At 35.0% G+C, this 27354-nt stretch overlaps 2 long non-coding RNA genes across 3 annotated transcripts in view; one reads left to right on the top strand and one right to left on the bottom strand.

Annotated features, from left to right (window-relative positions):
• Positions 1–10381, top strand: part of LOC105374523 (uncharacterized) — a 97876-nt gene extending 87495 nt beyond the window's left edge. For both annotated transcript variants that reach the window (XR_925461.2, XR_925460.2), the window contains one exon: positions 10252–10381. This is a non-coding gene — a long non-coding RNA (uncharacterized LOC105374523). The remainder of the gene's footprint in view (positions 1–10251) is intronic.
• The window catches only part of LOC105374524 (uncharacterized), a 507306-nt gene that overhangs the window by 191924 nt on the left and 288028 nt on the right, over positions 1–27354 (bottom strand). The gene's annotated exons all lie outside the window — the stretch shown is intronic.

Raw genomic sequence — 27354 nt, 5'->3', positions numbered from 1 at the left:
TATTAACCTAATGATTTATATATTAGTCAGCAATTTTCATAATTACATCATGGGTCAGTTCTTTAATATATTGAACCTCATTCTGTCCTTAGTAATAAAAGCATTATTATTTTTTCTAGTTGACTTTGCACCTGTACATTACCATTATTATAGGCCATTATTTACCACTTAACTTGGTAGTCAAAGTTTAGTAGTGAACTACCATCCTTTAAAGAGTGTAGTCTGAATCAATCAAGTTAATCACATGCAACTGTGATTGTGCTTACCAAGAAACCAAAAAAAAAAAGACAAAAAAAAAAAAGAAATTGTGCAAGCGTTTTCAAAATGTATCTGCTTTGAGACAACATGGAATAAATAGTGTAGGTAGAGTGACCATAACATTGGGATCACATTTGAACATGGTTGATCACCCTGAATGGCTTCAGATAAATGAACACTGATATTTAAGCAAGTGATTCCTTTGCTCAAATGATTATAGAAAGAAGAAAATGAGACACTGAAAAGAGTTCAAAAGGATGGTATTTGATTTGGTTCAGATCCCATCGAAATATTACCATTGTTACTGTTTGGGAACATCTCATGATGGGAGAATCTATTGACCAAAGAAGTGATAGGTTTAAAGTACTATCCTAACATAGAGAAGGTTGCTTGGGGATTCACACTGTAAATTGGCTTGTAGCTTTGTAACTTGGTGGTATTATTCATGTGAGGGAGACACAGGAGCAGTCCAGAGAAGCATGAAGATTGCATCATAGTGCTCCACAGTATGCCTTTGTAATTTGTATACAAGTCGATGGAAGAGCACTGAATCAAGAAAACTTAATTTTGACAGGTCTGATATATAGTCTATTTTGGTTAACCAAAAGGAACACATACATTTACTACATTAGAGAAATTTCCATTATTTTTCTCTCAGCCATGAAAATCGATTTTGATATGATTACACTCAGGGCTGCTTGATCTGCCTCTGACAGGATAAAATGGTTAGAGACAGTGGGTGGCATAGCATGTGGGATACTGTGGTTTGGCTGGACTCTGTGACAAACTGATCACAGTGAAATTCAAATATCAATTAGGATAATTTGCATGAAAATGAACATAAGACAAAATACTATGCTATATGTAAACTGTAAGAAAAAATGTTTTGATACATCAAGTAACCAGGTATTTTCATAATTTCACTTTTACTGTAAGTTTTATTTAGAAAAGTACAAGGATATCACTAGTTGTGACCCATAAATATATTTTATCTCCTTAATAAAATTATTGAGCTTTTATATTTAAGGCATTTATTTAAGAAATCTTTATTGAACTACAGATTTGGTTTTTTAAGTAAGAATTAGAGACTATGTGGTAGCTGGCAATTTTATTTCTGAGCACCCCAATACAAGGTGCTTTGCTACATATCTGGGATACAATCATAAACGAAGTAGACAATACTTGTTCTCATGGAGTGTAAAGTCTAGCTGGGAATTCAAACAAGTAAAGAGTGATTATAACAAAGTGTGACAAGTTCTACAATAAAAGAAACATAGTGTTTCATAGGAGCATCTAGAAGGGATGTCTAATCTAGTATAGTGTTCCAAGATTTACTGAAGGAAGTTATATCTAAATTGAACCAAGGAGGAATGAATAGACTCTGTTTGGTAGAGGTTAGTAAGAAATGGAGACTTAAGATGAGGGTAGGGATCTGGGAGGAAGGAGGATATCCCAAATAGAAAATGGCATACCCGTGGTTCTAGAGGGGAGAGTGTACATGACAAAGAGAAACAAGATGAAGTATTTTTACTGCCTGCAATGTAGAATGTGAGCAGAGGAATATTGAGCAGTAATGAGAAATAAGATCAGAATGCAAGCGATGGTCATTTTATGTGGGCACCATAGGAGAAAACCTTGACAAGGGGCTTGGACTTTTATCTGAAGGAAAGAGAGGTCACTGGATGGTTTCAAGCAGCAAATATATATATTTAGACTTGCACTTTAAATACATGGAAAGTATGGATTAGACGTGAATCAAATTGAGAGAAGGAGAAAGTTAAGGGATTGTTTAAGTAATGTAAGCAGGAGATTATGGTCATCTTAACAGGAATATTGCAAACGGGGATGGAGAAAAGTAGTACAGTGTAAACATTTTTGACTTTTTGTTTGTTCATTTGTTTGGAGGATAAATATGCAGGGATATGTATAGTCCTATAAATATATATGTACAGATACATAAATGTATATGTATGTCCTATAAATTAGGACTGAAGATAAACTAAGGCCTAAAAGCTAGACAGACACCACAGTTGCTGAAGTTCAATGATTGAAGTCCCTTGGGGAATTATTAATAGCAATGATGCCATTGGGAAATGGCAGGAGGTTGGGAAGGAGAACTTGAGTCTAGATTATCAGAAAGGGCTGAAATACTCACAAGTTTCTGGCATTCATTGGCTTCTAGCACAAAGCTTCCTAACCCTTAATTTATGGTCATTGAACTTTCACTGTTTAAGAAACACATAGTTCAAGATTCCCAAAAGAGGAAAGCAAGCCATTATGTCTAAGGATCATCATAAAGGAAAACTAGAAATAAAAATGAGAAATAAAGTCAAAAATCTCTGCAGCTGATGTAAATGTCAGACACAGAAGATAAAAGAATACTCTATATGCGACACAATAAAACAAAAACTGCTGTCTTAAAGGTACTCAGTCAGTTTATTAGAAATAAAAAGATACATTTTGGATTATGTAACTTCTAAAATTAAGCATATATTGGTTGAAATAAAAATTTTGACTAAACAACTGAATGGATACAGCTAAAGAGAGAATTAGAGAACCAGTATACATATTCAACAGTAGTCAATAGGAAGCAGAGAAAAAAGATGGAAAATATGAATGAAAGGTTACAAGATATAAAGGATAATACAAGTAATTTTAACAAACACATAATTTAATCCCAGATGAAGAGAATAGAGGAGAGGCAATACGTAAAGAGATGAAAATCGATTTTCCAATATCAATGAAAATATGTATCTATGAATCTAGGAATTGGAATGTTCCTCAAGCAGGATAAATATAAAGGAGTCAAAATTGTAACATATTGTAGTAAAACTTTGGAAGAATAAAGACAAAAAGAAAACTTTAAAAGCAGTCTAAGAGACATAGCTAATGTTCAACAATGTTAGCTATTTTGAATATTGGTGTATTTAACTTATCAGACTGCTTCCTGAACCCCAGACGGCATGAGCAGCTTGTATACAATTCACACATGATGACCCAAATCAGGAGTTGAATAAGCTTCCTTTTCTTCTCTTGATTTAGCATTATCTCTTGGGCATGTCTCTGAACTAGGCTCTCAGGTAATTGTTTCCATATGCTATCTCTTTCTGTCCTCTTGATAAACCTGTGAGGGGGATACTCACTTGAAAGAGGGAGATGCTGGAGCTTGAGGGGCATTTGTGATTTGCCCAAGGTCATACATCTAAGATGTGACATAATAGGGACAGAAACCCCGGACTTCCAATTCCACATTTATTTTCCTCTGAACACTGGCTCTTGTAGTGATTTGCCTTTTATTTCTTGTTCCTGAGTCCTACATTAGAATGTTTTCAATGTATAAAGTAGAATATAATAATTGTTCATTCTAAAATAAAAATGATTTAAATAATTTAAAAAAAGACAAAGAGAAATAACATATAACCAACAAATAGATAAATAGGGAGCATCATTGGAAGCCAGCAAGCAGTAGCAAGAGAGTTGCTGATGGAAATGACTGCTAACTTAGAATCATATTATCAGCAAAACCATTCTTGAAGAAAAGTGTGAAATAAACCATATGAAAATAAACAAAAGTGAGACATTATGACAAAAAAAGCTGAATGAAAGAAAATTTGAAAGAATATATTTAACATAGAAGGAAAATAAAACTAAAATGTGCCACATGTTTTGTATATTATGCAAGTCAGAAGGAGAGTGATCTAATTTAGAGAGTTCTATAATTCTGAAATTATTACAAAAGAGGATTAAGATATTGTTTAGTTTGTGACTTACTAAAACTAAATTTGCATGATAAAATTTCAGGGTTATACAAACTAAAAAGATGAAAAAAATAATAATGTGAGGAAAAAACATTAGCTAAACTTTTTTAATGTAAGTAGCATGGTGATAGGGAGACTCATATAAATTTAAAAGTAAGATGGTAGAAACAGACCCAATTATGTTTTAATAAAAAAATTTATAAATGTATTATGATCAAGAAGAGACAGTGATTATCAATTTGGATTTTTAAAGTGTCACTATATGCTGTTTACAAAGACATGGCTAAAAATTAAAGACATGGAAAGGCTTAAAGAAAAATAATTTAAAAAATACAAAACAAATACTAACTTAAAAGAAAGTGGACATAACTATCTTAATAGAAGAAAAATATATCTTAAGGTCAAAAGTATGTTTATGGATATAAATTGTTATCAGATCAGGATAAAAGGCTATATTTACCATGATTCTCTAACAATTCTATGTTTCTATGCTCCTAATAAAACTATCTCCAAATAAATAAAACAAAATATTGAAAAAGCTACTTTAAAAAGTTAACAAATCCTTCATCCTTGTGTCAAATTTAACATGTTTATCAATTCTTGATAGATAAACTGGAAAATATGAGTATAAATACAGAAAACTTGAAGACTATTAAGAATCTAGAATTAACAGACTTATATAAACTCCTTCAACCAAGAATAAGAAAATGTACATTATTCTCAAACACCTGAAGCATTTACAAAACCTGTGCACTGAGTCATAATGTAGGTTTTAATACATTTCCAAATATGGTCAATATAAATGGTCAAATTCTCTGATCACAAGACTATTAATAACGAAAGAGTTATTACACATACACACTTCTATTTAAGAGTAATAACTTACTATTCTTAAGTTGTTATAACCACATGTAGAAAACTACTGCATATTAAAGCTTTTACTTAGAAGGAAATACACTAAGTGCTTATATATAAAAAAGAAAAGCTGTGCAACTTTTCTTTTTTGTTGCATAAATGTGCAACAAAATGTGCTAAGTGTGCAACTAAAGAAGGTAAGCCATAATCAACCTAACAGCAGAATTAATAAAATATAAAATTATTTTAAAATATTTTTTAAATATAAAAATGTTATTTTTTGAAGACATTAATAAAATAGATAAATCTCCCGGAGGATTTATCAAAGAAAAAAAAAGTCTAAATAAATAATAATATAAATGGAAAGGGTGATATAACTGCAAATGCACGAAACTTAAAAAGGTATTAAATAAGAAAGAAGTGTTGGGAATGAGGTTCTTAATAAGTATGCCATTCAATGAGTTAAGAAACACATTACGAAAAAGAGACTTGGGAAACTATGTTCAGACATTGGATTTGTGGGCTTTCTGGGTCAATCAAATAGCGGTATCAAATAGCCAGTTTACATACAAGTTTGAAATTCAAGAGAAAGAGCTACAGGTAGAGGCAATAAAAAACAGGTAAAATGTATTAAGCACTTTTTAACATGTCACTGATTCTCTTAAATAATGTACACACGCTTACTTAATTAGAGTATAAAAGAAATTATTTTCAACAATTTTTTACAATAAACTGATCTGAAGCTTAGACTAGTTAAATCATTTCTCTATCAGATATCCAGAAAGTAGCAAAGTAAGAATTCAAACCTTGAGCATAGGTCTCCTTGTCTTTAAAAATTTATGTTTTTAAACACCATCCCACTCTTCCTCATCTGAGCTGGAGACTTATAGATTGGGACCTATCAGGTTATAGATGGAAACTGCGGCCTTGAAAGCAGAAAATTGTAGCCAGGGAAATTATTTAAAATATGAAAGTAAAAGAGTTTACAGCAGCATTCTGAAAATTGCTAATCATTAAAGGGTAGGCCAAGGAGAAAGAGGAGCTCACAAAAGACACAAAAATGAAAGGGTCAGAGAAGTACAAGGTAAGTAAGGAGAGTGCAGTAACAGAAAAGTCATAGGGAGAGGGCGTTTCAAGAAAGGAGAAGCAGTCAATAGTGTCAAACTCTGCCAAGTGTTCAGGTAGATAAAGCCTGGAAATTATTTATTGGATTTAACTACAAGGCCATCATCACTGACATTGACAAGAGCAGTTTCGGCAGAGTTGGAAAAGCAGAATCCAGATTTTGGAAGGTTGTGGAGTGAAAAGGAGAAACAGAAGCAGAGATCAAATTCAGACTTCTCTGATAAGTTTGATTGCGAATGGGAAGAGAAAAATATGTGAGCTACCGAAGGAAAACATGGAGTGAGTGTGTAAATGCAGGTTAGAAGTGAATATAATAGTAGGTTTGAAATATACAGGAGTGCAGCAATGATTTGTCAAACACTTTTATTGTGCTTACTCTTCTAAGGTCTTTTATAAATATTATTGTTTTCAATTCTCACAACTCTGTGAAACAGACATATTTCATATCCCCATTTTATATTTAAAATATAAGCCTGAATAGGATAAGTCACCTGCTCATTGTCACACAGTCATTTAGTGAGAAGCCATGGTTCAAACCCAGGCTGTGACTGACAACATTAAACCAATTACCTACAGATAAACAAGAAAGCAAAGCCTTTGAGGAGAAGGAGCCATAGGGAGTCAGTAAACAAGTTGAGAGGTGAGCTTTGAACGGGAGGGGAGGACATTAATTACTTTGCAATTAAATGAAAGACACAATATTGTGCAGAAGCAAATACGCTCGATGCTGTGGTAGCTGAAAGTTCAGGGAGTTTTCATTAAAAGGATTCTGTTCTTACCGTGAGCTTGTCATTTAAGGACATCTGTGAGAGATGATGGGGCTAGAGATTCGATGCAAATGGAGATGGTTTGACATGTGCCATAGAGAAATGGAAAATCGAGTTTATTATGCACACAGTAGGACTGCAGGGCAGCTACAAAAATCATTTTATATTAATGACTACAAAGTATTGACAATAGCAGCATGAAAGGTTGTATGTTATTCTTCTTTCAGCTTAGAAGCTCAGGGCAGTACTTTTCAAAGAGGCCTTAAGCTTTACCCATGAAAAAAAATGAAAGTGATCATAAAAGAATGGAATTGAGACTATTGGGAAAAGGGTAATTTGAAGTGATGAGACTTGGAATCCAAGCTGGGTAGAAAAGTCATTGAAGAAAGAAACGAGAGTAGAGACATAAATACCCCAGGGCAGTGGTTCTTAACCTGCCTACACAGTGCTTGGGTTCACTAGAGCCTAAATGTGAAGTGCAGAGATTGTAAAATAATTGTTCTTTCATAGGACAAAAAAGCATCCACATTGTCTTAAAGACCCTCAAGTGACTTGAATGTGTGCCAGTCAACGCCTTGGGTGTTCCAATTAGGTGGAAGAAGTGATGCAAGAGAGATGAGTTGAGGAGCTGCAGGAATGGGGGATTGGGAGAGAGAGTGAAGCCATTGAGTTAATTATTTCAGAGATACGACTTTTTCTGATGAGGATAAAATTTCAGTGGCAGCCAGCTTATGGCTCAAATTTGTGGCAATGGCCAGGAATGTATGCATCCTCTGTGTGGCTCAAGAGTTACCCTGTATAATAGTGGGAATTTGATGAAAAGGAAGAGTGAGAACTAAGGGTCAAGGTCTTTAGTTGAGTGAGAAGATTAACTCAGATGTTTGTGGATGACCCCAGGAAGGAATACAGATGATTCAGCCAGATGACATGTACTTCAAAGAAGTAGGTTTTAGTTTCACTTTTGTTTGTTTTTTAAATGGAGATTAATGCATAAGAGTCAGAAGAAACACGATAAGGGTAGTAGGATTCTCAGGTTATATTTTGAGATGTTTGCAAAAGTGTAGAAACAGGAGCTGCCATTTAAAAGAGAAAGTGGAATCCTCTAGAATGGGACAAATTGCAGTTAAGATCGAGAAAAAAAATTAAGATCTGAAAAAAATGTCTGGATTGATATGTAGCTTTATAAAAATTATAGAGGATTAATCTGGAAAGGAAGGAAATAAAGACTAGTTATTAACAAGAAATTAATGGGATGAGAATTTTTTTTTTTATTATACTTTAAGTTTTAGGGTACATGTGCACATTGTGCGGGTTAGTTACATATGTATACATGTGCCATGCTGGTGCGCTGCACCCACTAACTCGTCATCTAGCATTAGGTATATCTCCCAATGCTATCCCTCCCCTCTCCCCCCACCCCACCACAGTCCCCAGAGTGTGATATTCCCCTTCCTGTGTCCATGTGATCTCATTGTTCAATTCCCACCTATGAGTGAGAATATGCGGTGTTTGGTTTTTTGTTCTGGGATGAGAATTTCTTGGAAGGGTAGATAATTGGACAGATTTAAACATTCACATTGCAATCAGATAAGGCATAGAAGCACCTTACCACATAATGCTTCTAATAATTTTAAAAGCAGTTTTTTTATCATTGCATTTTGTGTCATTTATTGTATTGTCCAGGAAAATAATCTGCCTATTAATATAATGAACATAATAAGCCATTATGCTTAAATTTGGGGGGCCCAGTCCATTCCATCATCTTATATTATTTATTTAATATAATACTAGGCAAAATTTGTAGTGTTTTCTTAAGGATCTTTATATCTATAATCTTAAGCACAGTCACTCTATGATGTGTTTTTAGTTTTGAAGGTTTATAGATCAATCTTTTCTAAGCTTCGTAAAGTATTATCTATGTTCTAAAACAGTTTAAATAAGAAAAGAATAATTTTGACATAACTTTTTCATAAAATCATCTAAACCATCTTCCACTGTCACAATTTTTGGGAGATAATTTTTTTAAGTTTTGTAATTGTAATTGGTCTTACATGATTCTCATGTTAATTTTGATAATTAATATAATTTTTAAATATATTTTGCAATTTGTTTTTTTCCAATTTTTAGTTTACAGTAATTTTACACTAAAAGTAACATTGTGTTTTTAATCTAATACTTCTTACTTCGAATGCTTCATAGGTAATTTTCCTCACTTTTATTTCCTTTCTCAATTAACACTGCAAGGCTTGACTATTGTATTTTTTCAAATTATATTTTACATGCATTTTTCATTCTTGTACCTCTTGTTTATATAATTCATTCCCTTCTAATTTTTATTAATACCTTTATATTACTTTACTCATTTAATTTTTCATTTGCTTTGTTATGAGTTCTTGATCTGAACATTTACTTTTTAAAATATCCATTATTTCTTGCTTAAAATATGTGCATGTTGGTTTATATATTTCTCTATAGATGGAGATTTGCTGCATTTTATTAATATAACATGTGGCAGTCTCATTTACATTGCATTCTATGTCATTGTCAGGGCAAATTTAATTTGTATTGACCTCAGAGTTATTTATGATATTTTTATTTGTTTTTCTAGCATTTTAAACATGTTTTTCTATTAATATCTAGTTTTGTTGCATTATCATATAATATGGCTCATAGACTTTTTAAAAAATTTACCTAGCTTTTCAATGGTAGCCTACTACATGTTCAGTTCTTCTAAAAAATTTGTGATTAGCAAGGTTTAGCAAATTAGCGAATTTGCTATTTGTAGGGTAGAATGTTTAGCCTAAACATATACTATATTACATATAATAAAGTAGGATATAATAAAATGTTATGATATATAGTAATATATAATAGCTTACAAAATCATACGTAGTATATAGTATAAATTCATAGCTTTTATATCCTGATTAACTTTGGCTAACAAGATTTGCCAGAGACTTAAATGAGTGTGCTATTGACTCCCATTAATATTACATTTTAACTACACCTCCATGTATTTGGAGCCAATTTTATTTGATAGCTAACACTTATATTATTGCAAATTGTACTTATTGCTATAAAATGGCTATTTTTTCTTATAAAATGCTTTTGCCTTAAATTTTATTTGATGGATATTAACACTGTGACCTCTGCTTATCTGCAGTTTAGGTTTACCTGAAAATATATTTACTCCTGCTTTGTTTATAATCATGTAGTTTCACTTAGCTGTAAGTGTTTCATTTTAAATTCAAGCCATCGGGCAAGGCTTGCAATTCTGCCAGGGCCCTTGCAACCGAGTCTCTGAGCCTTTGCTCTGTTGCTCCTGCAATCTACAGGATCTTCTTCTGAGGTTTTCCTGTACTGCAAACTTCCCTTACAATACTAATTTTGTCAACTTCCATCCTTAACCATATTTTCTCTACTTCATTCACATTTTTCTCAAGGCCACTATATTATGGCATTCATATTTTACATATGTCTTCTCACAGTAACTCTGTATTCCATGAAGATAGGAATGGTGACTGTAATGAAGTATCCAATAATAGAGGACAATTAATGCTTACGAAACAAATACATGAATCAATGAGTAGATGGAAGCTTCTGTAAGCATCTACAACATCAGGAAGTGATGAGGTTTCTTCCTTGAAGGTATGCCAGCAGTAACTGGATTATATATATTCTATTTTATCTAGTACATTATATTTACACATGAATTGTGTATTTTATATATTTATTACACACATATATAAACTCTTCAATCTTTATATGTATACATACAGTGTGTGCATACACACCCCCCCCCCACACACACACAGACATACACACACACACATATATATACACTCTTCCATCCATTTATCTCTCTACCATCTATTCATATATCGACTCCTCTAAAGTATTTTCCAATCCAGAAAGCTCTATATGAAGACATATTTGTATAATGAAAAGTTTTAATTTTTGTCTTAGGAAACAAAGTTTTCAGGGAATCTTTTGTTTCTCATAGTATTCTCCTTCCTTTATTATTGTTTTCCAGAGAAATCATCTTTTTTCTCTTTTAAAAACATATCAAGCCATGAACACTTTCTACTCTATTATTTTCTAAGCCATTTATAAAATCGAGAAACTTCTACTTATAAGTAAAAAATCCTTATTGCTAACCTTGTAACTTATTACCCTGAGTCTTATGTGGACTTTGTGTATGGCAGTAGATATAAAATTCCTGAGACAAGTTTCTACAGTTCATAGGCACTTATTCGGGTCTCCAAATAAGGTAAATGAAGAAACTAGCCAACAAAATTCTGTAAACGTCAAACCTGAATGAACTGTTTTAATATCCAATAAATATTGATTTTATGTTGTGTAACTGTACTACTCTTTTAAATTAAAAATACTGTTTGGTCTCTCAATACCCATATCAATGGATATGTTTTCCCTTGATAGGCACATATTAACATTAATGAGAATTATGTTATGGATTAGAAACAAAAAGGAAATTATCTCCTTAAAGTTATACATTTTGTACGGCATGCAAATCACATCATTGAATAGGAGTTTATTCATTCAGTTTTGCTTGTGTGCCCATAAATGTATCCCTTGAAATTAAGAGTTTTTATGTATCTCTGTATGTTTGGGCCATTTTTACCTTTTGACTCCTTAGGAGTTTTCTTTTATCTACCTCATTCTGCATATTTGAAAAGATATAAATATACTAGATGGCACTATCATGTTTACCTGTGGTTTGACAGTAAGTATCATCGAATAGATTCACTCCCTCTGCTAACATTTCCTGTTCCTTCTGTTGACCCAAGTAGATAGACATGGTCTGGCTCAGTTGACAATAGCGTAAACTATTTCAAGTCTTAGAGTAAAGACTGCTAGAAATCGTAGACTTTGGAACACAGTAGAAAGAATTCTCTTTTTGTATTCTAGTCCTGGCATTGTCACTAATTGTGTGAACTTCCATGTCTCTTCACCCCTGAGTCTCAAACTCTTCAATAGATTAAACAAGAAGGTTGTAATGGAGAAATTGGAATCTCAATGGGGTTTTCAGAGATAATACAATGAGAAAACTAGTGACAGGCAAGTGGAGGTGTTCTAGGCATAGAGGAGGGAAGAAGAGTGCTACAAGGTAGAAATTCACTGGGGATATTAACCAATGTGTTTAGTAATGAAAAATCAGGTAAAACATTTTACTGTGGGCCAAACTGTGGAAATGTGAATTATTTCATTAAGTTTTTTAACCTGGCTTATTTATATCTCCATATTTATCCTTTCATATTTTTTGGACTTTGGCTTAATTTGCCTTTCACTTTCATCTATATCTTGTTCGACTTTTTCTTATTCATTTGCACTAACATTGTTTGCTTTGCTTTGTTCTTTTTCCAGTATTTCAGCTCCACAGTTCTGATGTGTACCTTTCCTCAGACACAAAAGAAAGAACTGTAACAAGTCACAGATATCCTTGATGTTCAAAATATGTTGTTGCTGAAAAATTTTAAAGGATTTTTCCAACAAAGTCCCATGAATTTATCCAATATCTCCCTGTAATGGCATGTGAATAAATGTACGATTTATTGTGTTATATTTGCCGAAGAGAAATCTGTCAAATGAGGATGTCTAGAGAGAGTAATAATGTTTTTATTCATCCATAAACTCACCAATCCATTTATTCATTAAACTGATATTTATGGAGCCCTTTCTGTGTGACAGTCACTACGCTAGGGGCTAGAGACATCGCCCTCATTTTCTAGACACTTAAGATCTAATATGGGAAATGCAGAGTAGACAAGCAAACACTGACTTAAATATATAATTATAAATTATGATAGATGTTATAGAGGAAAGAGCTACCTGCTATGATAGACTACCAGGGGTGGACATAACTTATACGAGGTAGTCAGCACAGGCTTTGATGAAAAGTATGTTCTTAATTACAAGCCATGGCTTTAACTTCAAGATAAGTAATTGTTGGGAAATACTGATCTCTCTTTGGCAACTATACTGACTGTTATTTTGCAAATCAAGCATTAGGCCATTTTTCCTTCCTTTTTTTGGTGATTTTTTGACTTTTCATTCATTCATTGATTCAATTCGACTTGCAGTGGAAGTATATCAGGGATCATCTTAATTTTAAGTTTTGACCTCAATATAGAAAAGCACATCTTCTTTTTTTTAATCTTCAGTAAAAATTTTTAGTCAGGACCTCTATTTATTCTTAAGAATTAACAACTTGCAATATCTACTTAGGCTTGTAGTTCATTTTTAGTGCCAATCATAATTACACAAACAACTGAACAGGAATTTGAGTTTCTATATACTCCCATTTTATTTATATTATTTCTACAGTTCTGCAAAATAGTTAATACTACTATTTGTTTTTGGCTGATAAGACTGAATCAAGACATTTTAGCAATCTTCTAAGATCAACAATGCAAAAATGGTAATGTAAAAAGTTAAATAATTGGTCGGGTGTGGTGGCTCATGCCTGTAATCTCAGCACTTTGGGAGGCCGAGGCGGGTGGATCACGAGGTCAGGAGTTTGAGACCAAACTGGCCAACATGATGAAACCCCGTCTCTACTAACAATACAAAAACAAAAAAAAAAAATAGCCAGGAGGCGGTGGGGCATGTGCCCGTAATCCTAGCTACTCCGGAGGCTGAGGCAGGAGAATTGCTTAAACCTGGGAGGTGGTGGTTGCAGTGAGCCAAGATCGCACCACTGCACTCCAGCCTAGGCGACAAAGCAAGACTCCATCCTGGGAAAAAAAAAAAAAAAAAAAAAAGTGAAATAATTAGCTATCTAAATTGCTAGACCTGTATTCTTTCCATTCACTTTGGTTGCTAAGTACTTCACATTTTTTTGTGTAAACTTTTTTTTTCTTTTTTTGAGACAGGGTCTTGCTCTGAGTAGCTGGGATTACAGGCATCTACCATCACGCCTGGCCAATTTTTGTATTTTTAGTAGAGACGAAGTTTCACCATGTTGGCCAGACTGGTCTTGAACTCCTGACCTCAGGTGATCCACCCTCCTAGGTCTCCCAAAGTGCTGAGATTACAGGTGTGAGCCACCATGCGTGGCCTTTTGTGTAAACTTTAGAAATGACCATTGTGGGTTGAATTGCATTTCCCCAAAATATATGTTGAATTTCCAACTACTAGGGCCACAGAATGTGACAATATTTGGAAATGGGGCCATTCTAGACCTAAGTGGTTAAGATCAGGTCATCCTGGAGTAGTGTGGGCTTTTCATTCAATATGACTATTGTCCTTATAAAAAGACAATATAAAAACTGACACATGAGGAGAGAACACCATATAATGACGGAGGCAAAAATTACTGTGTGCAGCTGCATGTCAAGAAATTCCAAAGATTGCCAGCAAATCACCAGGAGCTAGAGGAAGCAAGAAAGGATTCACTCCCATGGGTTTCAGAAGGAGAAGAGCCCTTACTGTTTGATGTAGAAGCTGATTTTTTGGAGTAAAGGTATCTAGAAAGAAGAGAAGATTATGTAATAGTAGTGCATAGTAGTACATGGGGAAACATACTCAAGTCAAATGCTCCTGGGAACTTGCCCACTTCCTCATCAGGTGCCTTATTATGCTTAGAGTGGGTCAGCCACCACTTCAATTTTGCCAGACGTTGACTCTGCAATAGGTGTCTTCATTGTTACCCTATTGGGAATGGCAGACACAGGGAGCTCCTTCCTTCTGGTATAAGGCAGAACAACTTAACCTTGTATGTAAGTATGAGTATGCTTAATTAAGTAAATTTGGTTTTTGTCAACAATACATTATTTTTCAGGGTCATATATTATTTCTTTATTCACATGTCATTTACTTAAAGAATTCTTTCCTGTCCATCTCTCTCACTCTCAGTTCCTATTACTTCTTATCTTGCCATCATAGCTTAACATTATAATTCTTTTCTTTCCTTTCCTCTTTCTCTTCCTCCTTCCTTCCCTCCCTTTTTTGCTTCCATCCTTCCATCCTTCCTTCCATTCATCCTTTCTTCCTTCCCTCCTTTCTTTTCCTTTCCTCTCTTCCTTCTTTCCTTCTCTTATTTTCTTATCTTGTCTTATTCAGGACTGAATACCTAGCATGTTGAATAGTGCCTGTGTCTGCAATAATATAGTCAAGAAGTACTGGTTAAATAATAAGGGTAAATATGTACATTGTAGGGGAAAGACATATACATCGTTATATTCCATTAAACTATAAACTGCCAGAAACATTATAGGAATTTGAATCGATAAGACCATGAAAAAGTTCAAACAATCTAGCAAAGAATTTACACCAGCCATGAGATATTCACAGCAAAAATAATGTTTATGATGCTTGTGAGCAACATAGATGAACCAAGCATCTTATAGGCCAATGGTAAGTAACTAACACAGTAATGCTACTCTTGGTGGACAAAAATGCCCACAAACTTGTGACTAGGTCTCAAGTTTTGGCAAAATGAGAAAAATGGGTAGACTTGAAAGAAATACAACTTACTTTAACATGATTCTTACCTTGAGTTCCCATGTATTTAAAACTAGTTTTCTGGAAGGTTTCAAAAGATTGTCAAAATGGTCCACTGCACAAAAAACAGGTAGAAACCTCTGCGCTAGAGTGACCTCTGATGGCGGTGATGGGCAGCCCTAATGATGTATATCTGTGCCGCTAGTGAAGGCATAAGACTGAAGTAAAGCACTGCAAAGGGTTTTGATAATTTTAAATCAGAGACGTAAAGCAAATGGGTAATGTGCTATTATCATCAGCTTAAAGGATATGGTTTTAGAAATTACAGCATTTTCCCCAAGTAGTCTTGGCTGAGATGGAGGTCCTCTCTGTCCTCTTTTGTCAAGTTAGACTTGATAGATATTTCCAACTATTCATTAAATAATATCTAAATCATAAAGCAATAACCATCATATGACTCTCACATAACTATCTGTTTCTCAAAGAATTATAGCGCTGATGGCTTTTAATGGCAATTTACAATGCCAGAATACTCTTAGGTGATCTCCAGTGGAATCAGTCCAAATTGGTTACCCAGTGGAATTGATCTTTAGTTAAAGGTCAAATTCAATTTTACCTTCAAAATTGAGGAGACTTGGATGTGAAAGTTGCCTCTTGATAATAATCTTAAGTGTAAAATTCTTTCTGTATTCATTTAAAAAATCTTTAGGTTAAAGACAGAGGAATAATGTCATCTTCCACCACCCCCAAGTTTCAAAAGGATTGACAGATTGACATGGAGACTATCAATATGGAGATTCAAGTCATCACTGTTCATTCTATATAAAGCTCTTTAGAGAAAGTCTCTATGGAACTGTAGCAAGCTAGACTTGCTAACGCTTCACCAGATATTTCAGTCTACTCATCTAGTCAAACACAATTGCTCAACAGACATAGACACCGCACTGGGGGGCTGACTCTTTAAAACTTACATTACAGAGAATTAGAAAACACATTTTCCCCCTGCAAGTAAGGTGGGTCCCAAAATAAGAGGACCAAAGTGCTGGCTAAGCTAAGCATACCCAGTTGCTTTTTTCCCAACTCAGCTGTCAAACTGTATGCCGCTATGGAATGAGAGAGACCAGAAGTCCCTCTACATGACAAAAAAATAGCGAAACATGAATAGTCATTTCAATCTTATTATGTCCAATGCGGTGATCCTAACCTTCCTACCATCCTCCCTCTAACCTAATTTCCTTTCAGTCTTTACACACCTTTAAGTGGCAACTTCATCCTTGGCTCCATCCTCCGCCCCCCCCTCAACAAATCCTACCTCACCAGCAGGTCTATGTGCTTCAAATCCTGCTACCCAGAACTTACTCTCAATGCTTGCCATCCAGAACTTAGTCCCAATAATTTAAGTAATCACGTTAAAGCAACGGTCAGATCTTGCTACTCCTCTGCACAAAACCTTTCAGTGGCTCTCATTGTACACAGAATGTAAACCCAAATTATCATTTTAATTTGCCTAGGTTATTGCTGTTAACTTTTAAAATAAGTTTTATTTACACCAGTGTTTACAAGGTCATTTTTAGTTTTAACCTGTTAATTCTCTCAAGTCCTCTTCTAATACCTTCTTGATACTGTTGCAGCCTCTCCAGCCTCCCGGTGGCTCCTTAAACCCCCAGATGTGCCTACCCTATGGCCTTTGCTCTTGCTGTGCTCTCCATCTAAAGACCTGGTCACCTAAATATCCTCTTGGCTGATTCTCTCTCTTCCCTGACACGCTTGTTCAAAAGTCATCTACTCAAGCAGGCAGACCATGGCCATTTATTACTTTAACCCAGTTGCTCTTCTTTACCCCACCCCCCTTTTTTTTTTCCATTGCATGGAACAATTTGTAACATACTTTACACTCTATTTTTTTCAATGTTTACCGCCTACATATCAACATTATATTTCAAATCCTATAAGGGCAGGGATCTCTGTTTTGTTCACAATTCTATCTCGAGTACCTAGCATAATGCTAGCTCATAGAAAACACTCAATAAATATGTTTTGAATGAATGAATCTAGCAGAAAATCATATTGAGTCTACCTTCAAAATATAGCTTGAATCTCTATCATACCACATTGTCACAAACTCCTTTGCCACTAACTTGGTCTTAGCCATCATTTTAATTTGCTTGCATTATTGCTATTAACTTCCTAAATAAGTTTTAATTTATACTTTTTCTTTCCCTCCTTTAGTCTATTCAAACACACACACACACACACACACACACTGCACATACACCACAAATCAAACAAATGCAACAACCAAAACACACACACACACTGCACGTACACCACAAATCAAACAAATACAACAACTACAATTGTAACATATAAGTCAGATGGTGTCAGAGCTCCAAACGCTCTAGTGTGCTCCTTTTTGTTTTTTACCCTGAGTAGAATCCAGTCTTTCTAGTGGCTTTTAGGTCCTGTGGGATCTACCTTCCTCACCTCTTCTCCTGCCTGACTCACTCCACTCCATCATGCTGGCGTCTTCATGACTCCTTGAAAACACCAGGCTCACTTTTGTCCTGGGCCATCTGCCTCTGCTATCCTCTCTGCTTGGTATGCTCTTTTCCCAAAAAGCTTCATGGCTAGATCCTTATAGCTCTGATGTATTTGTTGAAATGTAACTTTCTTAGTGGAAGCCTTCATGACCATGCCCACTTTAAATTCCCCTCACACCCCAACATTGTTATCTTTATTTTTTCTTCATAATACTAACTGGTATATCTAATATGATGTTGCATATTTATTGTGTTCATTGTCATCTCCGACAATGGGGTGTAAGCTTCATAAGAACAATTGTTTTCCTCTACTTTGTTCACTGGATGTCCCCATGGTCTATAACAGTGCCTGGCACATGGTAGGCACTCAATTAATAACTGCAGGGAGAAAAAAATGAAGCACGTACTCTTGGCATTTGGAAATGCTCAAAGGAAATACATGTGTATTAGTCAGTGCCCCAGCAAGAAACAAATTACACATTTGAACTAATTTGAGCAGAGTTTAACAGGAGGACTATTTTCAAAGGTGAAGGCAGGGTATAGGGAGCCCACATAGGAGAGTGTTTTATTCTCAGGCTAGAATCATTGCCAACCTCCCTTTATTCTTTTCAGTGAAATCCAGAAAACAAGAGTGCCCTTTGATATGATCACACATACTGGCATCAAGCAGTTGGAAGGAGGAGGCAGAGTAGACCCAAAGGGCAAACAGATGATATTTGGAATAATACTGTTGGTGATTTCTCATGATATGACTGAAAGAGGGTCAACAACGTATGATCACTGTTCATATTCTCTCTCTCTCTCTCTGTGTGCACACATGTACATGTATGTGTGGATAGTTATAATATGTACGTATGCACATATATAAATACAAATACATGTTTTCTAGGATATACTTAAATTCTCTAGAAATTCATTCACCAATTACCACTATTTACCCAACTTAAAGGCTAAAGCTTTGCTTATCTTCTAAGACTGACCTTAGGTGCCATCCTGTATAAGATTTCCTGGTGGCATGGATTAGTTTGGTGCCATGGACTGGAGGTAGAGGTATTCATTTAATAGGTCATTGTGATGTAAAATTGATGGCTTTGTAAACAATTGTATATGACTTTCACAAATAAATAATATCAAGTGATTGGAATATTGGGAAGGTATTAGTTAAAGAAAAGTGGTAGAGCATAACAGTGAGTCACTTCAGGTAAGATGGGGAGGACATCTCTGAAGAAGTGATCTTTGATCTTAGATCTGAATGATGGACAGGAAATCATGTCAGGGAAGTGCCAGAGAGAGAACATTTTAGGCAAAGAGAAGAGTGAGTATACGGATAAGTTTGGCTAATAACATTCTCAGTGGACTCATAACATAGGGAGGGATATCCAGAGAGGAGGAAACAAGGTATAAAATTAGGCAGGGACCAACTAGATGATTTGTGACTTTGTAGGTCATTGAAGGAGTTGGTATTTTATTCGAAATACAGGAAGAAGCCATTACATGGCTCTGAACCTGGGAATCACATGGTGTGATGAACATTTTTAAATATTCTCTGGTCAGTCTATAAAAAATATTGTAACTCCTTACTTTCGTTAAAATGAGACTGTCATACCTCTATCTCATTTCTTAAAAAGCATATTGTAGAAATTTGTTTTAAATTATTGTTTGGTTTTCTTTGAATTTCCATATTTTACTTGAATTTATATCAGCCATCTTATTTGGATTTCTTCTCTATGCTCTTTTTTGGCTTTCTGAATTTTTCTGCCTTTTTTAGAATTTATGGAGTACTCTTTGTTTCAGTTTAATTTCCTCTAGTTGTTTGGATAGCATACAAAGGATTTTACATCCTTTATTGTATGTAGTTCATTTGTAGCACTTAAACTTAACAAATCGGTTAGAGACATAAATTTTAGAATTAGACTTGTAGATTCTAACCCTTACTCTACCACTTACTCCTCCTGTGTGTTATCTGGGGCAATTTTTCTTATCAGTAAAATGGGAAAATAGTACATAGTTCATAGGGGAAGATTACATCAGTTCCTACATATAAAGCACCTAGTGCTTGACATATTGTAAATGTTATAAGAGTTTACTACATTGGAGTAGTAGAATTGGGACCACCCAAAAACATACTCCTTCCCAGAACCTGTGAATATGACCTTATTTGGAAAAAGGGTATTTTTAGATATAATTTACATAAGGATTTCAAGAGGACACTAGTTTGAATTAGGGTGGGTTCTAAATCCAACGACAGGTGTCTTTCTAAGAGGTAGAGAGGCCGGGCGTGGTGGCTCACACCTGTAATCCCAGCACTTTGGGAGGCCAAGGCGGGAGGATCACGAGGTCAGGAGATCAAGACCATCCTGGCTAACACGGTGAAACCCTGTCTCTACTAAAAATACAAAAAATTAGCCAGGCGTGGTAGCAGGTGCCTGTAGTCCCAGCTACTCGGGAGGCTGAGGCAGGAGAATGGCCTGAACCCAGGAGGTGGGGTTTGCAGTGAGCCAAGATTGCGCCACTGCACTCCAGCCTGGGCAACAGAGCAAGACTCCGTCTCAAAAAAAAAAAAAAAAATAGGTAGAGATAGACACCCAAGAGGGGAAGGCCTTATGAAGATAGAGGCAGAGACTGAAGTGATGCAGCTACAGCACGAGGAACACCAGGAAACTGTTGCACAGCTGCCACAAACACTAACAGCGAGGCATGCAATGGGTTTCTCCTTCAGAACCTTCAAAAGGAACTAACAGTGCTGACATCTTCATTTTGGACTTCTGGCCTTTAGCCCTGTGAAAGAATAAATTTTGGTTGTTTGAAACCACCCAGTTTGTGGTAATTTATTATGGCTGTCCTAGGAAACTAATACACACATTCAAAATGAATTTAACACCTCCCTCAAACCAAGGCAAAATTCTTACCTTCCTGTTCTATTTCTCTCCTGTGTCCAATGCCCTCCCACGTTCGGTGAAATCATCTAGACTTTTACTTTCAGTTTATTATAACTGTGTGTTGTGTCTTCATATTTTTACAAATCATTCTTTAACAATTGTTTTAAGATTAACAGCCAATATATCAATAATAATTTAGACAGTTGTAAGACCTACAAATATCTTATTCGCTAATGTTCCTTGAATCCTACGTCTTTTTTCTACTAGGAAGCTTTAAAATAGAAAGCAAATGACAGGGCCCTAACAATTGGGTTTACAGGGTGTGCTGGTGCTACACCTCCTGTAATCTATGCAGTACATAGCATAAGTTTATACATGTGAAATATAATTCATATAGGTAAATGTTACCATAATTATTATTAACTTTATCATCATCATTACATTTAAGACAACATGACATAAACAGTTGCAAACCTTCACATGGCAAGAATAGGTGAAAAGTGTAGATTAAAAGGTGTCATTTTTGTGTGTGTGTAATCACTTTTTGCTTTTTTACTTTTCAGTCCTTTTCCTACGTATCTCTCCCTCTACTTAAAGACTTAGTGTGAATGTCAATTACTCAAGCCTGAATTAAAAGAGGTGAGAAATCTTTCTATTTATCATGTTTATGATTTTCATACAACACATCTACAGAGCCTAGGAGCATTAAAGGAAATGCAGTCACCTTTGATTTTCTGTCCAATTATTTGCATACTTTTTGGAGAAAAGTGACAGAAATCAGCACTTTTTAAAATGTATATTCATTAACTTCCAAATGAAATTGCTCTAACTGCCCAGAATAGTGTTTGGGATCTTCCATCGGCAACACTGACAACTGTCTTATATTTCATGGAATTATTTAAAGTGAGTTCCTGACTCACATCCATATTTTGCCAGCCATTCATTCATTCAACAAAGATCTTTGATCACATGCCCTGTGATGGGACCCGTTTTGGGCATAGATATTCCTGAAAGTGAAGAAAACAGATAAAATCCCAGCTTGCATGGAGTTTTCATCAGGATTTTACTGACCAGGATCAGGATCAGGATTTTACTGACCATACACAAAGCAAATGAATATGCAAGTTCAGGTAATGATAAATGTCACAAATAAATTAACACTGAGAGAGACAGTGTGAAGCTACAATACTTTGATAGGATTTGATAATACCCTGTAAATAACTGTTTTTCAGTGGGTGCTTTACTTATTTGTTTGCTTTTCTGGCTTACTTTTAAGTTGACACAGGACAGGAAAACTCCAGTCATCCTCAAGGGAAAAGAGGTCCTGAAAAGAGGAAACAAGGAGAGACCTCACGGAGTCAAAACAGGTGTTCACAGGCATTGAATACGGAAAATGACTCAAGCTGCTTAGGATGAGACGCATGGTCAGAATGGTTCAGCACAAGGGATATATAACACCCTGAGGATTAAAACAAAGGTAGTGTCTAGAATGTTGCTGAATATGACAAAGAACTTTTAGATTAGAACTCCAGGAATGAAGAAGATGAAGAAAAACAGACCTCATGATTATCAGCTAAGGCCACTCCTAGCTCAATCATGTGTAGTCAGTGACTATACATACCATCAGTAAAATAAATAAATATTATATCTATTTAATTGTTCTATAATCTGCTCATTCTTCTTATTCATGTGGCTTATCAGAAAAAAATTGCTATAATCTTTAAAATTCCTATAATTAGACGGATTTCCCATATTATTTAATTTCCTTTGAGAAAATATATTTAAATCTAAGCTTTTTGAATTAGCTATTGCTTTAATCAAACTCCCAAGCTATTGCTTAAATTGACAAACATATATTAAAGGGAAAAAACAAAAGAGAGAGTGGGAAGGTGGACATGCCGGGACGCAGGATCCATTTTAGCAGCCAAGGAGCAACATTAGCGAGTGTCAGTGACCAAGAACCCACATAAGCAAAGATGAGGGCTCCGACAGAAGGAAGGCAATAGGAGCTATATTTACTCTATTGGACATTTTGCCAGGAGGATTTTTACAGTGTTGTACATTTTCATCATCCATCTCTTACACTTTGATGTTCATTAACTCATTTTTAAAATGAGCCCAGAGGTTTCAGTGGCTTTGGTTTTGCTATTTAAAATGGGCAATGGTGTGCTGAACAGATGGACTCACTCTAGACTATACAGAATGCATGAAATAGTCACTTTGGGAGTAAAAGACCCTTTTTGTTCCTCATACCAACACGATCTCCTTATAACTTCAGCACATCTAAATGCTTGATATTTTATGCACATCCCATTTAGATAGAGCTCCTAAATAAAAACTCTCAGCATTTTCTCTTTTGCTCATCTTATTGGCATTACTGTAAAACTTGGTTCATTCTCATTCCATGGAAGCAGCAGATTTTTATATTGATTTGATGGGTATGAAGTGAAGATAAATCTTGATGTCCATGTTGTTCTTTCATTGGGATGGAAAGCTATTGACACTGCAGGAATCAGGTATCCATATGCCTTTTAGGAAAAGAAAAAGTGCCCCAATCCCTTGCACAGCACTTTTTTTTTTTCTCAGTGTACAGATATCCCGTAAGGTATGCCTCTCCAAAATGGAATTGGCTTCCTTCTTAAAACTTGCAGACAAGATTTACTCGAACCCACTGTTTCTCTATTCAGGTCCATAATAAGATGGTCTACAAGTACAGTAAATCCACAATATTTGCAAGTGAAGATGGGTAGTCTCACACTTAACCATATAATTTTTTCTCAAAGTTTCTTTGCAAAGTTTCTTTTGGGAACTTGGGACATTTTCTCATGAGTCTATCATTCTTCTTTGGCAAACTCTGTTAGCTTTCTCTATTGGTACATGGGATGATGTGGTGAGCAAGTGGAGGCTGAAGCCCTCCAATCCCATAACCACCAGAATAAATTTTAACTCATGTGTTCTATTTGTTTACATATTCTTCCAGAATTCCACAGCAAAAAATGAATTGAAGCTATTGCGCTGGTTTCCTTGATCAGCGATATGAAATTCTAATTGCTTTCAAATTGTCCAGCTACAGAATTCCTTGAGATGCCCTCAAAAGCCATTTTTAAGCTCCTTCTCAGTATAGAATTGATGTCACAAGAAAATATGAGAAATCCTTCAGAAATTAAGACCCCAAACAGAAGCAAATCCAGAACGGTAATTGAGCAAAGAAGCTAAAAGCTATCTTGGTGCAATAGGCAAGAATAGTAATCTAGAGCTTTGACCTTTAATTATCACATAGGTTAAAAAAAAATAATAAAAGATTCTTGAGCCTGCTCAAAGTGGGACACGGTATAGTGACTTCTGCATAATGTCATGACCGTCAAAAGCCTATATGATTAGGGAAAAGGTATACTAGGAAAAATGTCTGCCTGAAAAAAGATGACAGTAATATCTTTTCCATTGCCATATGGAAAGGAAAAAGTTTTCAGTGAATACGTATATATGTAAAACAGTCTAAATTTATTAAAAGTTTAAATTCTTATTTTCTATTTTGCTAAAAACCCTCAAGCTGAGAAAACAGTTTATGGTGTTCCAGGTTTGATAATTCCCCCAGAAGCCTAGCAAAACCAAATGCATTAATTTATATAGAAACCATCCCTAAGCCTACTCACCATAGAATTTTCAAAAATAAAAACCCAGGAAATATGAGTCGATAATTTTTTAAAATGGATAAGCAAGACTTATACAGTTGACTCGAACAACATGGATTTGAACTGCATGGGTCCACTTATATGTAGATTTTTCTTTCAATAAATATACTGGAAAACTTTTTGTAGATGTGTGATAATTGGCAAAAACTCACAGATAAGCAGAGTAGCCTAGAGATATTTAAAAAGTAGATATGTTACAAATGCATAAAATATATGCAAAATATTAATAGTTTATTTTGTTATTTACTACCATAAAGTATACACAAATCTATTACAAAAAGTTAAAATATCAAAACAACACACAAAAACACTCAGAGACTGGACATAGCACCATTATTGTTCAGAGAAATGTAAATCAGTATATAGATGCAGTATTGAATCATAACTCCATAAAATTACTGTAGTACATATTATACTATTGTAATAATTTTATAGCCACCTCTTGTTATTATTGTGGTGAACTCAAGTATTGCCAGTATCTGTTTAAAATGCACTGTGATGCTAATCATCTTCACATGAGCAGTTAGTCTCCCCAGTAAATTGCATATTTCAGTAAAAAGTGATCCCTCACAGTTCTCACGTATTTTTCATCGTGTTGAGTCCAATACCAAAAACCTTGAACCCATGTGTAGTGCCACTAGTGATGCTGGAAGTGCTCTCAAGAAGCAAAAAACAGTCAAGATACTATATTTTGTTAAAAGTTGAATAGTTCAAGATATACCACAGATTGAGGTGTGCAACTGTAGTTGCCCACCATTTTAAGATAAATGAATCCAGTATAAAGACAACTGTAATAAAAGAAAAGGAAATTCATGAAGCTGCCACTGTAGCTGTGCCAGAAGGCATGAAAAGCTGTTATTTTACAAAATATCTTTTAATCTCATACTGAAAATGTAGCTTTTCTGTGAGTGCAGGATTGCTATAAAAAAAGGCATACCTATAGACTCTAGTATGATTTAAGAAAAAGTCAAGTCATTACAGTATTTGAAAAAGTAAAATGAATGTGAATAACCTAAAGCTAGAGAATGTAATGCCAGCAAAGGATGGTTCGATAATTTTAGAAAGAGAGTTGGCCTAGGAAACGTCAAGATAACAGGAGAAGCAGCTTCTGCCAACCAGGAGGCAGCAGAAAAGTTCCCAGACACCATTCAGAAAATCATAAAGGAGAAAGAATATTTTCCTGAACAGGTTTTTAATGAAGATGAAAGTGTCCTATTCAGGATGTAAGACAAAGGGATAGGCTAATTCTATTGTTTTGTTTCAATGCAGTTGGGTTTATAAACAATCCTTCCTTCATCTATAAAACTGTTAACTCCTAGTCTTGAAGGAAAAAGATAAACATCACCTGTCAGGTTTTTGGCTGTACAACAAGAAGGCTCATACAATAACTTTTTCTGAATTGCTTTCATTGATGCTTTGTCCCTGAAGTAATGAAGTACCCTTGCCAGTAAAGAATGGCCTTTTAAAGTTCTTTTGATATTGGACAATGCCAGTGACTACCCAGAATGCCATGAGCTCAACACCAAAGACATGGAAATGGTCTACTTCCCACCAATACTACAGTATTCTATGAAAAGATTGTCAACACTATGAAAAAGAACGCTGATAGAATATCATGAAAGTCTGGAAGGATTACACCATTGAAGATGTCATGGTTGTTATAGAAGAAGCCCTGAAAGCAATTAAGCCAGAAATAACAAATTCGTGCTGGAGCAAACTGTGTCCAAATGTTCAGGAGTTCATCAGAGAACCAATAAAAAAAAAATCATGGAAAAGATTGTGGATACGGCAAAAAATAGTGGAAGTGGCAGGGGTGAAGGAGTTCAAGAAAGGGATCTTGGAGAAACTCAAGGGTTAATAGATAGCACACCAGAGGACTTAAAAGATGTCTGCTTGATGGAAATGAGTGCTCTTGAACCAGTTCAGACAATAAGGAAGAAGATGTAAAAGAAGCAGTACTGGAAAGCAAATTGACATTAGACATTCTGGCAGAAGGATTCCAATTATTCAGACTTCTTTTGACTTCTTTTATGATGTACCCTTCTATGACACGGGCACTGAAACTAAAGGAAATGGTGGAAGAAGGATTGATGCCATATAAAAATATTTTTAGAGAAATGAAGCAAAAAATTCAGACATAAATTATGACATATTTCCGTAAAGTGTGCTTGCCTCTCCTGCCGCCCGTTCCATCTCCTCCACTTCTTCTGCCTGTGCCACTCCTGAGACAGCAAGACCAGCCCCTCCTCTTTCTCCTCCTTTTCGGTCTACTTAATGTGAAGACAACTAGGATGAACACTTATATGGTGATCTACTTCCACTTAATGAATAATAAACATATTTTCTCTTCCTTATGATTTTAATAACAATTTTCTCTCGCTTATTTCATTTTAAGATTACACTGTATAATACATATAACAAATATTTGTTAATTAACTGTTTATGTTAAGATTACAGTATACAATACATATAATGTATATGATATTTGTTAATTAACTGTTTATGTTATTGGTAAGGTTTCTGCTCAGCAGTAAGCTATTAGAAGTTAAGCTTTTGGGGAATCAAAAATTGTACATAGGTTTTTCACTGTGCAGGAAGTCAGCACCTCTCACTGCCATGGTATTCAAGGGTCAACTGTGTAAGAATAACAAAATATACCATCAAAAATGACCAGACATTTTTTATGAAACAAATATGTTTTTCATGAATAAATTTATACTTGACATTTGAACTCCAATGGATATATTAAAAAGCAGACTTGATTTAGCTAAAGAGAGAATTAGTGACCCAAAAATAAATCTAATATAATTACCCAGAATGTAACACAGAGATAGGAAGCGAGACAGAATACAGATGATGATACTTAACATAGATTTAATCAGATTTCCTGAAGGAAATAATACAGAGGACAGAGTCAAAATATTTCAGGTCATAATGGCTTAGAACTTTCCTGAAATGATGACATTAAATCACAGATTAGGAAACATAGTTAATCTGAATTGGAATGCATTTTTGGA

Source organism: Homo sapiens, chromosome 4 (assembly GCF_000001405.40).
Source record: "Homo sapiens chromosome 4, GRCh38.p14 Primary Assembly".
Taxonomy (NCBI): domain Eukaryota; kingdom Metazoa; phylum Chordata; class Mammalia; order Primates; family Hominidae; genus Homo; species Homo sapiens.
The sequence above is the reverse complement of the archived record's forward strand: the minus strand, read 5'-3'. Positions and strand labels throughout refer to the sequence as shown.